Source organism: Homo sapiens, chromosome 1 (genome assembly GCF_000001405.40).
Source record: "Homo sapiens chromosome 1, GRCh38.p14 Primary Assembly".
In the NCBI taxonomy this organism is placed as follows: domain Eukaryota; kingdom Metazoa; phylum Chordata; class Mammalia; order Primates; family Hominidae; genus Homo; species Homo sapiens.
The window spans coordinates 106,470,120-106,487,044 of record NC_000001.11 but is presented as its reverse complement, the minus strand read 5'-3'; the positions used below and the strand labels follow the sequence as shown (position 1 = coordinate 106,487,044).

The 16,925-nt window shown below is 37.5% G+C and overlaps 1 long non-coding RNA gene across 2 annotated transcripts in view; it reads right to left on the bottom strand.

Moving 5' to 3' along the window:
• Window positions 1-1,364: 1,364 nt before the first annotated feature.
• The window catches only part of LOC105378887 (uncharacterized), a 37,615-nt gene continuing 22,054 nt past the window's right edge, over window positions 1,365-16,925 (bottom strand). For both annotated transcript variants that reach the window (XR_947674.1, XR_947672.1), the window contains 2 exons: window positions 2,291-2,378; window positions 1,365-1,491 (listed from right to left, as the gene is read on the bottom strand). This is a non-coding gene — a long non-coding RNA (uncharacterized LOC105378887). The remainder of the gene's footprint in view (window positions 1,492-2,290; window positions 2,379-16,925) is intronic.

Below are 16,925 nucleotides of genomic sequence, written 5' to 3'. Positions count from 1 at the left end.
TGATTCTTAACAAGATAACTTGTGAAGTTAAATTCCTGCCTCTGTTTAGTCAAAACGTAGGAGTTACAGTATATCTGTTGTCCTCAATTGGAAGATGTCCCCAACTGGAAGCTATGAATCTCAAACCAGGGTGCAAACAGCTTTGTCTAAGTCAGATGTCAGTAACCAATTAATTAGTGTGTTTCTTATTGGTACACTTGTTTAAAAAATTCTCTAAACTCATATTTTTAATCTGCATTTACTTAACTTCAGGTGATTGTTTCTTATCTTTCCAAACTTTAGACTGTTTCTTTTGCTGGGCCCTAAGTTCTTTACATATTTCACCCCTTAAAAACTAAGGACCTGACTTGAATCCACCACCTCCTTAGATATGCAACATCTTCTAGAATCTGAATCAGGCAATTTTCTTAATGAAATTAATTGCTATTTTAAATTTTGCTGGAAAACATATGAATAGGAGCTCTCTTGGGCAAATGGCGATATACAAACATCCTGGAATAATGGAGAAACTAGAATCCTATAATTTAGAAGATACTTTGGCTATTCTTCCACTGGGCAGTGTTCTGGGAATAAATTGTAGTAGGAGAGCCTAATAGCTGCAGCAAAGAGAGTTAATATATATATTTAAAAAAAAAGCTCCAAAAGTCAGGACAAAAAAATATTATAAAGGCATTCTGTGACACGGGCATGCACTGTTTGAGACTGTAATAGCTCCCCAGACCATGTTGTATAAGCATGACAAAGTAGGGTTAGGGTTTTTGTTTCTGTTTTTATTTGTTTTCCTTCTTGTGCAAAGGCATGGGGTAGATTACATTAGACAGCTAAAGTCTTAAACATTGCCAGTTCCAAGAAATAAGCTGCACATCCCAGCTGTAGTTTTGAAATCAAAGGAAAGCGTTTATGTGTGTTTAATATGGTAAGGGGGAAATAAGCAGGTAATGTCATTTCAGCTGCTTCAAATACTTTCTCCTGACCCTTATGTTAACAATTACGTATATTTTGTGACAAAGTTAATTTGTGGAAAAAAACTTGTAAAGCAAGTTTGATAAATCTGATGTATTTTTTAGAGGCGTTTTCTTTTTCAAAATAACCATTTTATTATCACTCTTTATGTCTACTCTCTCAATGCCCCCTACAAACATGAAACATAGAAACATACTCTAAAAACCTGGAGTTTTGGAATTTAAAATGTTGCATTGGAAAGAATTTAAAGAAGAGGCTTTGGTGCCAATATGTATAGCTTTTACCATTATCCCAGAAAAGTTCCCAAGGTTTCCAAGCTGCCTGAATTTCCGTTAATCTGGACTAGGCTAAATTAAACATAAAATAGTTCAGCTGTGTTTGTTTTTAATTTGCAAAGGAATTTAGTGTTCCCGAAAGTGAGGAACTAGCAAATGAGGCTTCAATCAATCAGGAATATTTTGGGCATCTCTGCCAGTAGCTTTAATGGGAAAGACTTGCTATTATAACCCAGAAGTTCTTTGGCAGGTCCTGAAACGAGATAAAAATAAATTTATAAGAGAATATGAAGCCTAAAAACTGGTTAGGGAAAGAGTTGGTAAAACTAACATATGGAATTTTAGCTGAGGTGCAGGAGTTCTAGGGTTGAAGGAGCCTTACATTAGAGTGTGGGAAGTTTTTAAAGAAATGCTATTTAAAAATGAATGTACAATTGTATCCATTTAGGCGCACCATTTAAAATTTCAAGTCCTACTACAAAATCCTGAGAACACAGTTTCATTCTCCCTGACCCTGTCACGCTCCTCAGTGAGCCATTTCAAATTGTTTAATGTTTTCTTCTGTTATTTACCACCCTATTTCTAAATACTAAACTTGTACTGCTTTCTTAGTTCCTAAGCACCTGATGTTAGCCAACAATAAACTATTACAGGAGATAAGAATTTCTTTCACCACCTTTTTCCCTCCTAGGAAGAGTTATAACATAGATTTTATTAAATACATACTTATCATGATTTTTTAAATGTGGTTCACTGCTGAGTCATATAATACAATATGATTTTTTCCTTATATATATTATTGTTTTCTTGCAGTAATTATGCATTTTTTAAAAGTTCACTTAGTTTTTACTTACAGTAAATTTTTCATAATGCTCAGGATCATGGATTAAACTCTTCTCAATGATATTTTCCAATACATGAAATAATTTATTGGTTCTATTTCTTTTTCTAACAGTTTCTTTCCTGTAAACCTCTGACCCACTCATCAATTTACACTGTTTTCTGTAGGCTGCTGGCATAGCTATTCTCCTGGGTTATCTTTTATTACTCACTTTTGTTGGAGCTCTTGATTCTGCTCTCCCAATATCTTCTTTTTTCATTTACTTTCTTATTTTCAAGGAGCATGTCCTCCAGGAGTTTCTTGAAAAAGAATGCATGGGTGGTTAAAAAAAAAAAAAAAAAAAAACAGCAAAACAACAACAACAACAATGTGACAATTCTGAAGTCCTAAAAATATTCTTGTTGTCCCTCACGCATAAGGGTTAGCTTGGCTGAATAAAGGCTTCTGGATAAAGTTAAAAACATTTTCCTCTTACACTTATGCAGACATTTGTTTATTTTTTTCCTCTAACGTCTTGTGATGTAGATAATACCTGACATCATTCTAATTCCCAAAATTTTACGTATAACCTTTCCCCGCACTACCGCCAAAGCTTTTATGATAATCATAATAGTGATAAATTCTTGATTTCTTTCCCTAAGATACTACTGCAAGAGCTTTGTGTGCATTTAAATAATTTAATCTTCAGAATAGCCTTAGAATAGAGATAGTATCAATATCACACCCATTTTACAGATAGGAGATAGAAAACCAACATGTCCAGTGAATGGTCCAAATTCCTGCAACTGACAAGTGGTAAAGATGAGCACTGAATCCAGGCAATCTGGCATTAGATTACGTATGCATAGTCACTATACCATCTGCCTGTCTTTCACAGGAGTTCTGAAATCAGTAATTGTTGGACTTTCAATTCGGATACATGCCTCAGTGTTGTGAAATTCTGTTATGTGATTATTTTTCTTTATTCTATTAGTGGGATGGGGAAACTCTTGATGAAACTTCTAATTTAAAAACTCATTATTTTGCTTTTATTTATTTATTTGTTTTTTGAGACAGAGTCTTGCTGTGTCACCCAGGCTGGAATGCAGTAGTAGCATGATCTCGGCTCACTGCAACCTCTGCCTCCCAGGTTCAAACAATTCTCCTGCCTTAGCCTCCCGAATAGCTGGGATTACAAGCATGTGCCACCACACTGAGCTAATATTTTTGTACTTTTAGTAGAGATAGGGTTTTTTCACCATGTTGGCCAGTCTGGTCTTGAATTCCTGACCTCAAGTGATCTGTCGATCTTGGCCTCCCAAAGTGCTGGGATTACAGGTGTCAGCCACCACACCCAGCCTGCTTTTAACATTGTAAAAACAGTTTTATACTTCTTTTCAAGAAATTCCATAAATCTTCCAAACTTTCCATTGCCATTATTATTACAAGTAATAGTATATAATTTCACTGATCCTTGTTTTTAATTTTCAGGGGACATTTTCTGTTTCTTGGCTTTTCCTGTTAAATACATAGTACCTTGCATTTCTTTATTGATACGTAATAGTTTTACATGTTTATGGGGTACATGAAATATTTTTTATATGCATAGGATGTGTAATGATCAAGTCAAGAAATTTAGAATATCCATCGCCTCATGTACTTATCATTTCTGTGTATTGGGAACATTTCAAGACTTTTCTTCTAGCTCCTTTGAAATATGAAATACATTATTGTTAACTATAGTCACCCTACTCTACTATCAGACTTGTAGATCTTATTCCTTTTATCTAACTGTACGTTTGTACCCATTAACCAGCCTCTCTCACCCTACCTCACCCACACTCACCCTTTGCAACTTTTGGTAAACAGCACTCTACTCTCTACCTCCATGAGATCAATTATTTTAGCTCCCACATATGAATGTGAACATATATTGTTTGCATTTTTGTGCCTGGCTTATTTCACTTTAGATAATAGTTTATCCAGCGTGGGCAACATAGTGAAACCCTCATCTCTACAAAAATTAAAAAAATTAGCTCACCGAAGTGCAACGATTGTGTCACTACACTACAGTTGGTTTGACAGAGTGAGACTCTGTCTATGGAAAAATAAAAAAGAAAGAAAGAAAAAAATAATTATTTCCAGTTCCATTCATGCTGCTGCAAATGACATGATTTTATCTTTATCTTTTCAATTACTAAACAGTATTCCATTATGTACATATGACACATTTTCTTTTTATTAATTAATATTATTATTTTATTTCAATTATTCTGGGGGTTTGGTTATTTGAATAAATTCTTCAGTGGTAATTCCTGAGATTCTTAGTGCACCTGTCACTCGAGCAGTATACTATACCCAATATGTAGTACTTTATCCCTAACCCCCTCCCAACATACCCTATCTGAGTCCACAAAGTTCATTACATCACTCTGTATGTCTTTGCATCCTCATAGCTTAGCTCCCTCCTATAAATGAGAATTTATGGTATTTGGTTTTCCATTCCTGAGTTACTTGGAATAATGACCTCCAGCTCCATCCAAGTTGCTGCAAAAGACATTATTTCATTCATTTCAATGGCCGAGTAGTATTCCGTGGTGTATGTATACCACGTTTTGGTTTTCCACTCATTGGTTAATGGGCACTTAGGTTTGTTCCATGTCTTTGCAATTGTGAATTGTGCTGCTATAAGCATCTATGTGCCTGGGTCTTTTTCATATGAACACTTCTTTTCCTTTGGGTAGATACCTAACAGTAGGATTACTGGATCAAATGGTAGATCTAGTTTAAATTCTTTAAGGAATCTCCATATTATTTTCCATAGTTGTTGTACTAGTTTACATTCCTGAAAACAGTGTAAAACTGTTCCCTTTTCACCACATCCACAACATCTATTGTTTTTTGACTTTTTAATTAATGGCCATTCTTGGAAGCGTGAGGTGGTATCTCATAGTGGTTTTAATTTGAATGTCCCTGATGATTGGTGATATTGAGCACTTTTTTCATGTTTGCTGGCTGTTGGTGTATCTTCTTTTGAGAAATGTCTTTTTGTGTTCGTTGCCCACTTTTTGATGAGATATTATTTTTTCTTGCTGATTTGAGTTCCTTGTAGATTCTGGATACTAGTCCTTTATTGAGTGCATAGTTCGCTAATATTTTCACCCACTCTGTAGGTTGTCTGTTTACTCTGCTGATTCTTTCTTTTCCTGTGCAGAAGCTTGTTAGTTTAATTAGGTCCCATTTATTTATTTTTTCTTTGGTTGCATTATCTTTTAGGGTCCTAGTAATGAATTATTTGCCTAAGCCAATGTCCAGGAGAGATTTTCCAATGTTATCTTCTAGAATGTTTATGGTTTCAGGTCTTAGATTTAAGTCTTTGATCCATCATGAGTTGATTTTTGTATAAGGCAAGAGTTGGGGATACTTTTTTATTCTTCTACATTAGCTTGCCATATTTCCTAGCATGATTTATCAAATAGGGATCTTTCTCCAATTTATATTTTTGTATGCTTTGTCAAAGATCCATTGGCAGTAAGTACTTGGCTTTATTTCTGTGTTCTCTATTCTTTCCCATTGATCTATGTGCCTGTTTTTATACCAGTACCATGCTGTTTTGGTAAATATAGCCTTGTAGTATAATTTGAAGTCTGGTAATGTTATGCCTCCAGATTTGTTCTTTTTGGTTAGTGTTGCTTTAGCTATTTGGGCTTTCTTTGGTTCCATATGAATTTTAAGATTTTTTTTTCTATTTCTGTGAAAAATAATGATGATATTTTCATAGGAATTGCATTGAATCTGTAGATTGCTTTGGGCAATATCATTATTTTCATAATATCGGTTCTTCTCATTAATGAGCATGGGAAATGTTTTTATTTGTTAGTGTCATCTGTAATGTCTTTCAGTGTGTTTTGTAGTTTTCCTTGTAGGGATCTTTCACCTCCTTGTTTAAATGTATTCCTAGATTGTTTTTTTCTTTTTGTGCAGGTGTTGTAAAAGCAATTGACTTCTTGATTTTTTTCTCAGTTTGGTCATTATTGGAGTACAGCAGTGCTACTGACTTGCGTACATTGATTTTGTAACCTGAGATTTTACTAGGCTCATTTATCAGATCTAGGAGCCTTTTGGATGAGTATTTAGGGTTTTATAGGTATACAATCATGTCATTGGTAAACACTGACAGTTTGACTTACTCTTTTCCAGTTGATTGCCCTTTGTTTCTTTCACTTGCCTGATTGCCTAGGCGAGGACTTCCAGTATTATGTTGAATAGAAGAGAGGAAAGTGGGCATCCTCGTCTTGTTTCAGTTCTTAGGGAGAATGCTTTCAACTTTTCCTCATTCAGTATGATATTACCCATTTGTTTGTCATAGATGGCTGTATTAGTCTGCTTTTTTTTTTTTCTGCTAATAAAGACATACCCAAGACTGGGAAGTAAAAGAGGTTTAATGGACTTACAGTTCCACATGGCTGGGGAGGCCTCACAATCATGGTGGAAGGCAAGGAGGAGCAAGTCGTGTCTTACATAGATGGTGGCAGGCAGAAAAAGCTTATGCAGGGAGACTCTTTTTTAAAACCAGCAGATCTTGTCGGACTCATTCACTATCATGAGAACAGCACAGAAAAGACCTACTTTGTGATTCAATCATCTCCCGCTGGGTACCTCCCACAACATGTGGGAATTATGGGAGTTACAAGATGAGATTTGGGTGGGGACACAGAGCCAAACCATGTCATTCCTACCCTGGCCCCTCCTAAATCTCATGTCCTCACATTTGAAAACCAATCATGCCTTCCCAACAGTCCCCTAAAGTCTCAATTCATTTCAGCATTAACTCATAAGTCCACATTCCAAAATCTTATACAAGACAAGGCAGGTCCTTTCTGCCTATGAGCCTGTAAAATCAAAAGCAAGTTAGTTACTTCCTAGCTAGAATGGGGATAAAAGCATTGGGTAAATACAGCTGTTCCAAATGGGAGAAACTGTCCTACTACAGGTCCCATGCAAGTCCAAAATCTAGCAGGACAGCCAAATCTTAAAGTTCCAAAATGATCTCCTTCAACTCCATGTCTCACAGCTAGGTCGCACTGATGCCAGAGGTGGGTTCCCAAGGTCTTGGGAAGCTCTGCCCCTGTGGCTTTGCAGGGTACAGCCTCCCTTTTGGCTCCTTTCATGGGCTGGCATTGAATGTCTGCAGCTTTTCCAGATGCATGGTGCAAGCTGTCAGTGAATCTGTCATTCTGGGATCTGGAGGACAGTGGCCCTCTTCTCACAATTCCACTAGACAGTGCCCCAGTCGGGACTCTGTGTGGGGGCTCTGACCCCATATTTCCCTTCTTCACTGCCCTAACAGAAGTTCTCCATGAGAGCCCCACCTCTGCAGAAAACTTCTGCCTAGACATCCAGGCATTTTCATACATTCTCTGAAATCTAGCTGGAGGTTCCCAAACCCCAATTCTTGTCTTCTGTGCACTGCAAGGCTCAACATCACATGGAAGCTGCCAAGGCTTGAGGCTTGCACCCTCTGAAGCCATGGCCCAATCTCTATTTTGGCCCCTTTTGGTCATGGCCAGAGTGGCTGGGACAGAGGGTGCCAAGTCCCTAGGTTGCACACAGAACAGGGACCAGGGTCATAGCCCACAAAACCACTTTTTCCTCCTAGGCCTCCAGGTCTGTGATGGGAGGCGCTGCCATGAAGACCTCTGACATGCCCTGGAGAAAATTTCCCTATTATCTTCGGGATTAACATTCACCTCCTTGTTACTTGTGAAAATTTCTGCAGCTGGCTTGGATTTCTCTTCAGAAAATGGGATTTTCTTTTTTATTGCATTGTCAGGCTGCAAATTTTCTAAAACTTTATGCTCTGTTTCTCTCTTAAAACTGAATGCCTTTAACAGCACCCAAGTCACCTCTTGAATGCTTTGCTTATTAGAAATTTCTTCTGCCAGGTACCCTAAATCATCTCTCTCAAGTTCAAAGTTCCACAAATCTCTAAGGAAGGGGCAAAATGCCACAAGCCTCTTTGCTAAAATGTAACAAGAGTCACCTTTGCTCCAGTTCCTAACAAGTTTCTTATCTCCATCTGAGACCACCTCAGCCTGGATTTCATTGCCCATATCATCATCAGCATTTTGGTCAAAGAGATTCAACAAGTCTCTAGGGAGTTCCAAACTTTCCCACATTTTTCTGTCTTCTTCTGAGCCCTTCAAACTGCTTAAACTACTGCATGTTACCCAGTTCCAAAGTTGCTTTCACATTTTCAGGTATCTTTCCATCAGCACTCCACTCCTGGTACCAATTTACTATATCAGTTCATTTTCATGCTTCTGATAAAGACATATCCAAGACTGAGAAGAAAAAGAGGTTTAATGGACTTATACAGTACCACATGGCTGGGGAGGCCTCACAATCATGGTAGAAGGCAAGGAGGAGCAAGTCATGTCTTACATGGATGGGGACAGGCAAAGAGAGAACTTCTGCAGGAAAACGTCCATTTTTAAAATGATTAGATTTCTTGAGACTGATTCACTGTTGTGAGAATAGCACAGGAAAGACCCGCCCCCACGACTCAATCGTCTTTCTCGTGTTCCCTCCCACAACACCTCGGAATTATGGGAGCTACAAGATGAGATTTGGGTGGGAACCCAGAGCCAAACCATATCAATGGCTTTTACTATTTTGAGGTATGTCCTTTTTATGCCATATGTGTTGAGGCTTTTTATCATAACAAGATGCTGGATTTTATCAAATGCTTTTTCTGCATCTATTGAGATTATCATATGATTTTTTCTTTTAATTCTGTTTGCATAATTTATCACAGTTTTTGACTTGTGTATGTTAAACCATCCCTGCATCCTTGGAATGAAACCTACCTGATCGTGATGTATTATCTTTCTGATACTCTGTTTAATTTGGTTTGCTAGTATTTTATCAATGATTTTTGTATCTATGTTCATCAGGAATATTTGTTTGTAGTTTTCTTTTTTGTTATGTCTTTTCCTAGTTTTGTTATTAGGGATTAGGGTGATACTGGCTTCATGGAATGATTTAAGGGAGGATTCATTCATTCTCTATTTTTAAAATAGTTTTAGTAGGATTGGTACCAATTCTTCTTTGAATATCTGGTAGAACTCAGCAATGAATCCTTCTGGTCTTGAAATTTTTTGCTGGCAATTTTTAAATTGCTGATTTAATCTTGCTGCTTGTTATTGGTCTGTTCATGGTTTCTATTTCTTACTGATTTAATCTAGGAGGGTTGTGTGTTTCCAGGAATTTATCCATTTCCTCTAGATTTTCTAGTTTGTATGCATAAAGGTATTCACAGTAGCCTTGAATGATATTTTGTATTTCTGTGGTATTGACTGTAACATCTCCAGTTTCATTTCTAATTGAGCTTATTTGGATCTTCTTTTCTTGGTTAATCTCACTAAACGCCTATTAAGTTTGTTTATCTTTTGTAAGAACCAGCTTTTTATTTCATCTATCTTATATTTTTTGTTTCAGTTTCATTCAGTTTTGCTCTGATCTTTTTTTGTTTCATTCTGCTTGCTTTGGGTTTAGTTTGTTGTTGTTTCTCTAGTTCCTTGAGATTTCAACATCAGGTTTTCAAATTATGCTCTTTCAGACTTTTTGATATAGGCATTTAATGCTATGCACTTTCCTCTTAGAACTTCTTTTTCTGTATTCCTGAAGTTTTGATTAATTTTGTCACTATTATTGATTCTAAATAATTTATAAATTTTCATCTTGATTTCATTGTTAACCCCGAAATAATTCAAAAGCAGATTATTTAATTTCCATTTATTTGTATAGTTTTGAGGGTTCCTTTTGGAGTTGATTTTCAGTTTTATTCCACTTAGTCTGAGAAGATACTTTATATAAGTTTAATTGTCTTACATTAATTGAGACTTGCTTTGTGACCTAGCACGTGGTCTACCTTGGAGAATGTTCCATGTGCTGATGAGAAGAGTGTATATTTTCCAGTTGTTGGGAAGAATGTTCTGTAAATATTTATTAAGCCAATTTGGTCTAGGGTATAGTTTAATTCCATTGTTTCTTTGCTGACTTTCTGTCTTGATGGGCTGTCTAGTGCTGTAAATGGATAGAAGTGTCCCACTGTTATTGTGTTGCTATGTATCTCATTTCTTAGGTCTAGAAGTAATAATTTTATAAATCTGGGAGCTCCAGATTTAGGTGCATGTAAATGTATGATTGCAATGTCTTCTAATTGGACTGATCCTTTTATTATGTATCAAATGATAAATGATGTTGTCTTTTTATTTTCTTATTGTTGTTGTTTTAAGTCCTGTTTTTTTCTGTTATAAGACTTGATACTCCTGATCACTTTTGGCTACCATTTGCATGGAATATATATATATATATATATATATATATATATATATATATATATATAATATAGATAGATAGATAGATAGATACAGAGCCTTGCTCTGTCTCCCAGGCTGAGGTACAGTGGCACAATCTTGGCTCACTGCAACCTCTGCCTCCTGGGTTCAAGTAATTCTCCTGCTTCAGCCTCCCTAGTATCTGGGATTATAGATATGCACCACCATGCCTAGCTAATTGTTGTATTTTTAGTAGGGATGGGGTTTTTCCATGTTGGCCAGGCTGATCTCGAACTCCTGACCTCAGGTGACCCAACCACCTTGAACTCCTGACCTCAGGTGATCCACCCACCTCGCCTCCCAAAGTGCTAGGATTACAGGCATGAGCCATCGTGCCCAGCCACAGAATATCTTTTTTCATCCCTTTACCATGAGTTCGTATGAATTATTATGGGTTAGGCTAGCCTCTTGAAGACAGCAGATTTTTGGTTGGAAGATTTTTTTAATCCATTCTGCCATTCTATATGTTTTAAGTGGAACATTTAGGCCATTTACATTCGATGTTAATATTCAGATGTGAGTTACTGTTGTATTTATCATATTAGTTGTCACCTAGATAGCGTGCTTTTTTCATTGTGTTATAGTTTTATAGGCTCTGTGAGTTTCACGCTTTCAGGAGGTTCTACTTTGGTGCCTAACAAGCTTTTGTTTTTAGATTTATAACTCCTTTTAGTATTTTTTGTAGTGCTGTTTTTGTAGTGGCAAATTCCATCAGCATTTTTCTAAAAAAGACTTCTCTCCTTCATTTATGAAGCTTAGTTTTGCTGGACACAGAATTCTTGACTGACAATTACTCTGTTTAAAGAGGCTCATGATAAGATCCCAATCCCTTCTAGCTTGTAAGGTTTCTGCTGAGAAGTCTGCTGTTAGACTGATAGGTTTTCCTTTATAGATTACCTGATGCTTTTGTCTCAGGTCTCTTAGAATTCTTTCTTTGTGTCAACTTTAAGATAGCCTGATAACTATGTGCCTTGGTGATAAGGTGTGTGACATATGCCAAGGTGATATTTGCGATAAATTTCCCAGGAGTTCTTTGAGCTTCTTATGTTTGAATATCTAAATCTCTAGCAAGGCCAGGAAAGTTTTCTTCATTTATTTCTTCAAATAAGTTTTCCAACCTTTTAGATTTCTCTTTTCCCTCAGGAAGATCAACAATTCTTAGGTTTGACTGTTTTACATAATCCCATATTTCTTGGAAAATTTGTTCATTTCTTTTGATCCTTTTTTCTTTATCTTTGTCTAATTAGGTTAATTCAAAAGCCTTGTCTTTGATATTTGAAATTATTTTTTCTACTTGTTCTAGTTTATTATTGAAATTTTCCAGTGTTTTGTAGTTGCCTAAGTATGTCTTTCATTTCCAGAAGTTCTATTTGGTTTTTCTTTATGATATCTGCCTCTCTGGAAATTTTTTATTGATATCCTGAATTGTTTTTTAAATCTCTTTATTTTGGTTTTCACCTTTCTCTGGTATCTCCTTGAGCAGCTTAGTAATCAATCTTCTGAATTCTTTATCTGGTATTTCAAAGTTTTCATCTTGGTTTGGATTCATTGCTGGGGAGCTAGCGTGATCGTTTGAGAATATCATAGAACCCTATTATGTTATATTAACAGAATTACTTTTCTAGTTTCATCTCATTTGAGTAGAGTATTTTTTCAGTTATTCTTGAATTTATTTTTTATTTGACTGTGTTTTTAAATTTTTTTCTCTCTTAAAGATGTGATTTTAATGTGTATAGTTTATTATACCCTAGTTTGCTTCTTGGTGCCTGGTTTGACTCTGTATGAGTACCTTGGTTATAGAGAGTCTTTGTGAGCTGACTTTCTCAAATGCTGGTTGTAGTACTTATGTACTTGGTGTGTGGGCAAGTTCACTGTCTCCTATGGGGTTGAAATAGCCTGAATATCTTAAAGCTTATCTCATTCCCCTGTGTTGTGTACTTTTTTATTCACTTAATTTTTTCCCCAGTATTTTTATGTAATGAGTTGATGGTTTAGGATTTAGGCCAGCAAGAGATCTAGGTCAGTATCCCTGGGTAGAAACTGGATGTAGCTAAAGCAGGTGGGTAGATGCAATAGCCAATGGTGGACAGAGTTTCCAGCCTTGATGAAGGTGGCTGAGGGAGCTCTCAGTTAGATGCACTGAGATTTTACCAGGGAGAAGAGTGGAAGCTACCTCAGCTCCCCTGCCAAGCCAGCAGGAAAGCTATACACCTCCCAGCCTCCCTCCTGTCCCAGTGTCCTGGCTATTCAGATCAGACAGGTACCTCTTTTTGTCTATAGGAATGTTGATGTTCCAAGTAGAAAGGAACTGTGACTCTGACTCTCATGCAAGCCTGAACCTGGACAGTGCTCCTCCTGGGGGGATGCAATCACCCTGAATTATTCCAGGAATGCTGTCTATAGGTGCATCCATGCTGAGTTCCTATGGGAAAAGCCCCAACTATGTCTACAGTGGTGGACAAGGGAACTACAAGAATCTCTTCTCCAAGACCTTTCATGAACATGAAGGTTGCCTGACTGTTGGGGTAGAGATGCAGACTTTCCTGGCTGTGCCTAGCACTTCAATTGTGACTCTGCTATAAGAAACTTCCTAGCAGTGGAAAGATATGGAACTCAAGGACTGCCATCCAGATTCCTTTATCCCACAGGGTTTTCTCTTGATGTGCTCTCCCTCTTCTTCTAGGTGTAGGAGTTTCTGACAACCAGACTACAGTGACTGCTCTTGCTCTCCTTGTCTAGCCATCCAGTGGGGCTGCCACACTCTGTGCTGGCACTGGGCAATGTCTTCAAGGGATCCACTGATGTAACCTGTTTTCAAATCTCCCAGCAGTGGGTACCAGCACCAGCTCTGCTGGAGGTGTCAGGAAAGTGACATAGACTCTGTGTGATTTCTTAATTGTAGATAGGTTTAGTGTGCTGGCTTCCTTTAAAGCTGGTTATAATTTTATTGAACTTTTCATGTGGACAGACTCAGAACCTCTGGTTAGCCATGGTGTTGCAGGCAGTGGTGATAGCTGAAGTCATTCATTTATTTTCTGCTTCCTGGGCACAATATTATTCTACCTAGAGGTGCTTTAATGGACTGTGTTGGTTGGCCTCCAACCAGGAGGTGATGGTTGTAAAATAATACCAGCTGTGCTAGTAGCAATGGGATATGAGCTTGCCCTACCTAAGTTGCCAAAGAGAGGTAATTTTGTTTCTCTGGTGTTGGAGGGGCTACAAAATTCCCAAAAGTTTATATCCTACACTACCAAGGTGGGTGGAGGGGCACAATCAGATGTGGGCAAGTTTAAGTGGGTCTGCACTCCGACACTCCCTTAGTGGGGCCATCCGTGGCTCCTGTGAGGGTTGCAGATGGTTCTCAGGCTGCTGGAGTAATGATCCAGAGCTCAATATAACTACCTCTGCCACATAAAAGAGAATGCAAAGGAGTGGAGAGTAACAGGCCACAGTAACTCTCACCCAGCTCCCAGGCAGATAGCAAGGCTCATCTCACTTCTGCATTGCTCCACTAACAGCACTGGGTTAAGACCCAGGCAGTCTGGGAGTCAGACCCGTCCCAGGCCATAAACTCCCTGTAGAAATAGGAACCATGAATTTTAGGCTATGCCCCTCCCCATCTGCCAGCAAAGCCTGGTGCCCAGCTCCTGCACTTATGTCTGAAATGCATTCCCCACTTGCCACCTTGCCCACTGTAATCAGCTTCTTATTGAGGGGGTTGGGAGTTTGTCCCCACTTGAGATTAAACCACAAAATCACAAAATCACAAAATTCAGTTGGGAACTTCTTTCACCCTGCATCCCCTACCTGAGCTAGTTGGCTGCCTTCCACAAGGTCCCCTGTGAGATGGATTCAGGTGTGGCTTCCCTCAGTTCATGCTGGAGACCGGGAATGCCTGCAAGTCACTTTCTGCTGCTGCTTCTACCTTTATATTTCTTGCTGCTCCCTAAATCAGTTCCATCGCTGGGTAGGGTCAATTCCTTCTCCAGTGGCTTGTATTTTTAGATTCCCTGGTGGGCATGTGTATTCTGGAGGCATTCTCTCCCCTTCTCACACTCTTGGAACTAACAGCTTTTCATCTGTCTTACGGAATAGGCTGCATCCCAACACTTCTTTCATAGGGTCTTTGCATTCTTTCAGTTTTCCTGTTAAGTTTCTGCATTGCTTCTTGAAAAAATGTGTACACTGTGAATCTCTACACACCATTCTGTCCTTCCAAGTGAGTAAGGCATGCTAACATTGCCTCCAACCACCATCTTGGGAAAAAATAAAACCCCCTTTTTTTTTTTTTTGAGACGGAGTACTCACTATGTCACTAGGTTGGAGTTCAGTGGCATGACCTCAGCTCACTGCAACCTCCACCTCCTGGGTTCAAGTGATTCCCCTGCCTCAGTCTCCCGACTAGCTGGGACTACAGGCGCACATCACTACGCCTGGCTAATTTTTTGTATTTTAGTAGAGACGGGGTTTCAGCATGTTGGCCAGGATTGTCTTGATCTCCTGCATCATGATCCACCCACCTTGGCCCCCCAAAGTGCTGGGATTACAGACATGAGCCACCGTGCCTGGCCACATTTTCTTTATTCACTTATCTGTAGATGGACACTTAGGTTGATTACATATCTTTGCTGTTATGAATAGTGCTACAATAAACATGGGGATGCAGTTATTCTTTAAATTTCTGATTTTCTTTTCTTTGGATAGATACCAAGCAGTGGGATTGCTGTATCCTATGGTAGTTCTATTTTCAGTTTTTTTAGAAGCTGCTATACTGTTTTCCACAATTGTTGCACTAATTTACATTTATACCAACAATATATGAGTTCCCTTTTCTCTGCATTCTCTCCAACATCTGTTATTTCTTGTCTTTTTGATAATAGCCATTCTAGCTTGGGTAAGATGATATGTTGTTGTGGTTTGGATTTGCATTTCCCTGATGATTAATGATGCTGAGCATTTTTTTCATGTAACTGTGGGCCATTTGTATGTCTTCTATCTTCTTCTGAGAGATATCTACTAAGGTCTTCAACCGCTTTTTAATAAAATTATTTATTTTGTTGTTGTTGAGTCATTTAAGTCCTTTGTATATTCTCAATATTGGTCTCCTGTTGGATGAATAGTTTGTATCTGCTTTCATTCAATAAGTTGTCTCTTCACTCTGTTGATTGTTTCCTTTGTTGTGCAGAGTGTTTTAGTTTTATATAAAATCATGTGTCTACTTTTGTTTTTGTTGCCTGGGCTTTTAAGGTCATAGATATAGAATCATTGCCTAGACCATTATACTGAAGTGTTTCTTCTAGGTTTTCTTCTAGTACTTTTAGTTTCAGATCTTACATTTAAGTTTTTAGTTCACTTTGAGTTGATTATTTATATAGTGTATGAAAGGGCTCAAGTTTTATTCTTCTATATATGGATAATCAGTTTTCCCAGCACCACTTATTGAAGAGGGTGTCATTTCCCCAACATATGTTCTTGGGGTCTTTGTTAAAAATCAGCTGGTTGTCAATATGTAATTATATGTCTGGGTTCTCTATTAAGTGTGTATTTTTATACTAATACCATGCTGTTTTGCTCACTATAACTTTGTAATATATTTTAAAGTCAGGTGGTGTGATATCTCCAGCCTTTATTTTCCCCCCTCAGGATTTCTTTGTCTTTGGCCATTGGGGCTCTTTTTTGGCTCCATACAAAGTTTAGAATTTTTAAACAGTTTCTGTGAAAAATGACATTGATATTTAGATTAAGATTGCGCTGAATTTGTAGATTGCTTTGATAATTCAACATCTCAGTTGAATATATTCCTATGTATTTTCTTTCCTTATTTTTGTAACTATTGTAAAAAAGATTGCCTTCTAGAATTATTTTCTAGATAGTTCATTATTTGTGTAAAGCAATACTACTAATCTTTGTCTGTTGATTTTTTATCCTGAAATGTCATGAATTAACGATAACATCATGTCATCTGAAAAGAGGGACATTTTGATTTCCTCTCTTTTAATTCGGATGCCTTTTTTTTTTCTTTCTCATGCTCAACTGCCTGGCTAAGACTTCCAGTACTATGTTGCATAGCAGTGGTAAAAGTGGGCTTGATCTTTTTTTTCAAATTCTTAAAGATTTTCAGCTTTTCTCCATTCAGTAGAATGTTAGCTGTGGGTTTGTCATATATGGCCTTCATTATGTAAAATAATGTTTATTCTGTTCCACATTTATAGAGAGTTTTAATCATGAAAGGATGTTGAATTTTGTCTAATACTTTTTTTGACATGTGTTGAGATGATTATATGATTTTGTCCTTTTTTCTATTGATGTTATCATATTAGTTGATTTGGGTATATTGAGCCAACCTTGCATTCCAGAGATTAATCTCACTTGATCATGGTGTTGATATGCTGTTGGATTTGTTTTCCTAGTATTTCAATGAGAATTTTTATGTCTATGTTCATCAGGGATTGTTGCTATTGTTGT